General features: G+C 47.7%; 1 annotated feature.

Annotated features, from left to right (window-relative positions):
* Positions 470-970: an enhancer, noted in NCBI's record as "H3K4me1 hESC enhancer chrX:40350139-40350639 (GRCh37/hg19 assembly coordinates)". NCBI's record gives its function as "activates a minimal SCP1, AML or CMV promoter by ChIP-STARR-seq in naive H9 embryonic stem cells {active_cell/tissue: H9 hESC(naive)}" and the evidence as "EXISTENCE:reporter gene assay evidence [ECO:0000049][PMID:30033119]".

Below are 5637 nucleotides of genomic sequence, written 5' to 3'. Positions count from 1 at the left end.
ACTGAGGCACAGGGCAATTAAGTAACTTGTCCAAGCTCCCAGAACTGGTAGCAGTAGTGCTGGGATTCCAGACTAGACCATCTGACTGCAAGTCCCCATTCACAACCATCTGCTCTGCTGCTTCTCAGGGTAAGGCGGGAGCATGAAGGATGGGCAGGAAGTACTGAGGGGTGGGAGGCAATAGGAGCCGGGCAAGGGAGGTGATTTGCAGCTACCTGGAGACTGTGCATGTCTGAGAATCCTTAGACACATCCTATGGGCACAAAGGCCTTATTTGGATATTGCAGAAGAGAACTTGGGGCTGTTTGATGACACGGGCCTGCCATGGGGTAAGTGCTGGATGAATAAGAACTCTGGACAGCCTTATCCTCTCCTAACCCGTTCTGACTGCATCCTTCCCTTGAATTGCACACCTTTTGCAACAAGGTCAAAATTAGACTTCCGGCTGGGTGTGGTGGCTCACGCCTGTAATCCTAGCACTTTGGGAGGCTGAGGTGGGCAGATCACGAGGTCAGGAGTTCGAGACCAGCCTGACCAACATGGTGAAACCCCGTCTCTACTAAAAATACAAAAATTAGCCGGGCGTAGTGGGGCATGCCTGTAATCCCAGCTACTCAGGAGGCTGAGGCAGGAGAATGGCTTGAACCCGGGAGGTGGAGGTTGCAGTGAGCTGAGATCGCACCACTGCACTCCAGCCTGGGCGACAGAGTGAGACTCTGTCTCAAAAAAAAAAAAAATTCAACTTCCTGCTTCTGCTGGGTGCCTGGGAGGACCAGCTCCTTTCCCCAAGTCTCCCTCCAGATCCCACAACTCACACCTCTAAGAGTGGGATTGTTCCCGTACAGCCCAAGGGCAGGTGAGACCTGGGGCCTCCCCTAGGGCAGGGAGGGCAGTCCTCTCCCCAGAGCAACCCCCCATCATCATAACACCCAAGGGGGCCTTAGGGTTTGAGTCAGGTGGGGTGTGGACATCAGAGAATCCCACCAGGGCTCAGATCTCAAACTGGGGCTCTGTGTGCGTGCGTGCGTGCGTGTGTGTGTGTGTGTGTGTGTGTGTAGGTATGTGTATGTAGGTGTGGCACCCACACCTCACCTGCACAGAAAACAAAGTCAACAAAATGGTCATTCTTCTCTTTTGAAACTTCACAGATCTCTCTCCTTCTGGAAAGTTTTACTGAGGACACATGTGGCGTTTCTGCCTCTGCTCCCCACCCCCAATGACAAGCGAAAACAAAGAAGATAAAAAGGGAAAGCAAGAGAAAGAGGAAAAAAAAGGAAAGACAGCGAAAGAAGAATCCCTTCCCTACTCTCTGCCAGTAACATTGACTTTCTGGGTGGTTGTCGCCATTGCTGCTTCTAGACCTTTTCTTCTCATTGCTCTGATATTTCAATCCCCCAGAGCAAGGTCTGGGGCATCTTTCTCTGCATCTTAAGGCAAGATCCAGTAGACAGCCAGTGAGCAGAAAATAACTTGAGAACAAAAAAGTATGCTTTTAAAATTTGTTTTCTGAGCAGACTGATGATCAGGTAAACACTGTAAGCGTTCATGAGTGGGCAGAGAAACCAAATTAGAGAAAACACTCCCTGCGCTCACCATGGATCTGTTCCCAACCTCCTCACCAATTCCTCCCACCCTCAAAATTAATTTCTTCTCAACAGTCAGCCCAAAGGAAGAGCCTGAAGATCTCAGGAATGCGTGCTCTCAAAACAAGTTGTTTTTCATCTGCGAACTGGGGACTTTTGCTTGAAAAACAACCATCTACGGCATAAACATAGCAATAGGACACGAGCATGTTGGATGGGCCCATGAGGAGCTCTTCTTGAAGACAGCTACCTGGGGGTAAGGTCCTTCTGCTATAGTCAGTCTGAGCACACAGAGATCCCCCCACACCCCCAAAAATGTCCAGGGACCTCTGGAGAGAATCTCAGAGGATTTTCAGGTATGCCAGCCCCTCACTGCAAAAAGGATCTCCTGGCTTGAGCCACTCACCCAGGCTTGTCCTCTGTTCTACTTTGGTCACCTCCACACTGAGCTCCAGAGCCCTTCACCTTGGTCCTGGTCAAAATAGGGATGGGATCTCACTATGTTACTCAGTCTGGTCTCAAACTCCCGAGCTCAAGCAATCCTCCCGCCTTGGCCTCCCGAAGTGCTAGGATTACAGGTGTGAGCCACCGCACCTGGCCTCTCTTAACTTTTGACCCAGTAATTCTTCTAGAAAGGTACTCTTCTGATATACTTGCCCATATGCAGCAAGATCCATGCACAAGCCTGCCCATTACCACCTTGTTCATAAGAGCAAAAAATTGAGAGCAACCTACATGCCCATCAGAAGAGGACTGGCTAAGTTAATTTGGCACACCCAGATTATAATAAACAGTCCTTCAATATGTGCTGATAGGAAAAGATCTGTGAGCCATACTGCCAGCTGAAAAAAAGACGCAGAGAAGTGTGTGACTGTATTGTCCCTATCTTAGTTGGGTTTCCCCCAAAGCAGACCTTGAGACAAGGATTTCAGTGCAAGTCATTATTTGGGAGGTGATTCAGGAAGCACAGTGAGGGAGTGGGGAAGTGACAGCACAGGGAGGAAAGCCAATAAGGCTGGGAAAAATGAGCCGGTTACCACTGTGGGCAACTGGGGCTCCATCCCATGGGGCAGAACAAACCTCAGAATCATGTCGCCAAGAGACAAGGAAGCTGGGATATTTATCCACCAACTCCTGCCCCTCAGTGGTTGAGGGGCATCCATTCCCCGGCATTTCCAGCCAGCCCCAAGTGCAAGCGATCATGCTCCTTGGCCAGAGAGCATCCTCCTGCAGAGAGAGATACAGGAAGAGGTAGGCTTTGAGTGAAATGTCTGCAGGCGCCTCTGGAGGAGGGTGGGGGTGATCCAGGGGATATGAATGGAGCACTACACCGTCTGCAGTGATCCCATTTCTGTATCTGAAAAGTTTTTTAAAAATACATAGATATTATACATATGTTTGGAAAAATTCTAGGGGTGTGGGCCTAGAGGACTGGGGGATAGTGAGGAGAGGTGCTTTTCACCTTGAACCCTTCTACTGTGTTTGCATTTTTAAAAAAAAAAAAACTATACCCAGGCCGTGCAACATAGCGAGACCTCATCTCTACCAAAAAAAAAAAAAAAAAAAAAAAAAAATTAGCCGGGCACTGTGGTGCATGCCTGTAGTCCCAGCTACTCAGGAGGCTGAGGCAAGAGGATTGCTTTAGCTCAAGAGTTCAAGGTTTCAGTGAGCTATGATTGCACCTTTACGCTCCAGCCTAGGTGACAGAATGAGACTCTGTCTCTAAAAAAAGAAAAAAAAATCCATATATGATGTAAATAATTAAAAAACTGTTTAGTCAGCTTAAAAGCTGCTCTCTCTACAGCTACTAAAGCTCCAACTTAATGGTTCTGTCCACCTTGAGTCTCTCCCAGGACCAAACAGTAATTCCTTGCATGTATCACGTTCTGTCTGAGCACCGGGTACAGCCCTATCCACTTTATTTATTTATTTATTTATTTATTGAGATGGAATCTCACTCTGTTGGCCAGGCTAGATAGAGTGCAGTGGTGCCATCCTGGCTCACTGCAACCTCTCTCTCCCAGGTTCAAGCAATTCTCATGCCTCAGCCTCCCAAGTAGCTGGGACTACAGGCGTGTGTCACCACACCCAGCTAAGTTTTGTATTTTTAGTAGCAACAGGGTTTTGCCAAGTTGGCCAGGCTAGTCTCGAACTCTTGACCTCAAGTGATCCACCTTTCTTGGCCTCCCAAAGCGCTGGGATTACAGGCATAAGCCAACCATCCCTGGCCCCTATCCAGTTTATATGCTCTGTCAAAGCCGAGCTCCATGACAGCCCTGCCAGGTGGAAACTAGAGTCCCAACTTTAGAGATGATAGGAAACTGACACTTAGAGAACATAATGTAACATGCTCTATGTCATATAATGGGAGTGTGGGTCCACGAGTGGAGCCAGAATTTGAACGAAACCTATCTGTCTCCTGAGCTTGTGCCTGCAGCCATGATGATCTGTTTCCACAGCTTCTCCCCATTCTACCTTGGGGAAACCTTGAAGTCTTCCTCAGGCTGATTTCCCCTTCCCATATGGAAATGGGTACTAAATGTGTTTTAGGAGCCTCTGGTCCCTTGTCAGCCTTTTCCAACCTATGTGCCCCAGACACAGTGGAGGAACAGTGCTGGGAGTGGAGCTGATTTGGCTTGGCTGTGTCCCTATCCAAGTCTCATCTTGAATTATAGCTCCCATAATTCCCATGTGTCGTGGGGGGGACCCAGTGGGAGGTAATTGAATCATGAGGGCGGGTCTTTCCCTTGCTATTCTGGTGATAGTGAATAAGTCTCACGAGATCTGATGGTTTTATTAAGGGGAGACAATCTCTTGCCTGCTGTCATGTAAGATGTGACTTGGCTCCTCATTCGCCTTTCACCATAATTGTGAGGCCTCCCCAGCCATGTGGAACTGTGAGTCCATTAAACCTCTTTTCTTTATAAATTACCCAGTCTCAGGCCTGTCTTTATTAGCAGTGTGAGAACAGACTAATACAGGAGTCATTCACCTCTCTTATGGGCTGAACTTTGTCTCCCCCCAAAAAAACTGTGTTGAAGTCCTAATCCCCAGGACCTCAGAATGTGGCCTTATTTAGAAGGAGAGGCTTAATTACCTCTGTAATCAAGTTAAAATGAGGTCATTAGGGTGGTCCTGAATCCAGTGTGACTGGTGTCCTTAGAAAAAGGGGACAATTGGACAGAGAGACAGACATGTCCTGAGGGAGAATGCTACATGAAGATGCAGGCAGAGATCAGGGTGATGCTTCTACAAGCCAAGGAATGCCAAAGATTGCCAGGAAACTACCAGAAACTGGGAGAGAAACAGGGAACAGATTCTCCTCACAGCCCTTAGAAGAAACCAACCCTGCCAACACCTTGACCTTGGACTTCCAGCCTCCAGAAAACTGTGAGACAATACATTTCTGATGTTTATGCCACCCAGTTTATTGTATGTTGTCACTGCAGCCAGAGCAGACTAATACACTCTTTTTCAAGGCTGCCACTACCTTGTCGCTTTCCACTCTAGCAGATATTAGCCCTCATTCAACGCATCTAGGGAAAAAGGGAGGGGAAGCAGTTTTTACAGAAGTGGTTGTTCCCACCTTCACCTCCGACTTTTACCCCAGATGGACTGAAAAGTCTTGTTGCTGATAAGAGGACAACTAGAAACAGAACATCTAGCTCTGGCCAAAGGCTTCCAGAATCACATAGTAATTCTTCCTGTCTTTCATGGTTGAATGAATGAATAAATGAATAAATGAGTGAATGAATGAAGCCATGTATCCCTAGTGCCTTTGGCCTTACTCTAAATAGAAGCTTCTCTGCTTATGAAATTTTGGGCCACAGACTTTGATAGAAAGCTAAACACTGGCTGGGTGTGGTGTGTTCACACCTGTAGTACCAGCTATTCAGGAGGCTGAGGCAGGAGGATCGCTTGAACATAGGATTTCAAGACCAGCCTGGGTAACATAGCAAGACCTTCATCTCTGAAGAAAAAGAGGAAAGAAGGAAGGAAGGAAGAAAGGAAGGAAGGAAGAAAGGAAGGAAGGAAGGAAAGGAAAGGAAAGGAA

This window comes from Homo sapiens, chromosome X, assembly GCF_000001405.40.
Source record: "Homo sapiens chromosome X, GRCh38.p14 Primary Assembly".
In the NCBI taxonomy this organism is placed as follows: Eukaryota; Metazoa; Chordata; class Mammalia; order Primates; family Hominidae; genus Homo; species Homo sapiens.
Note: the sequence above shows the minus strand (reverse complement) of the source record. Positions and strands in the feature narration are given on the sequence as shown.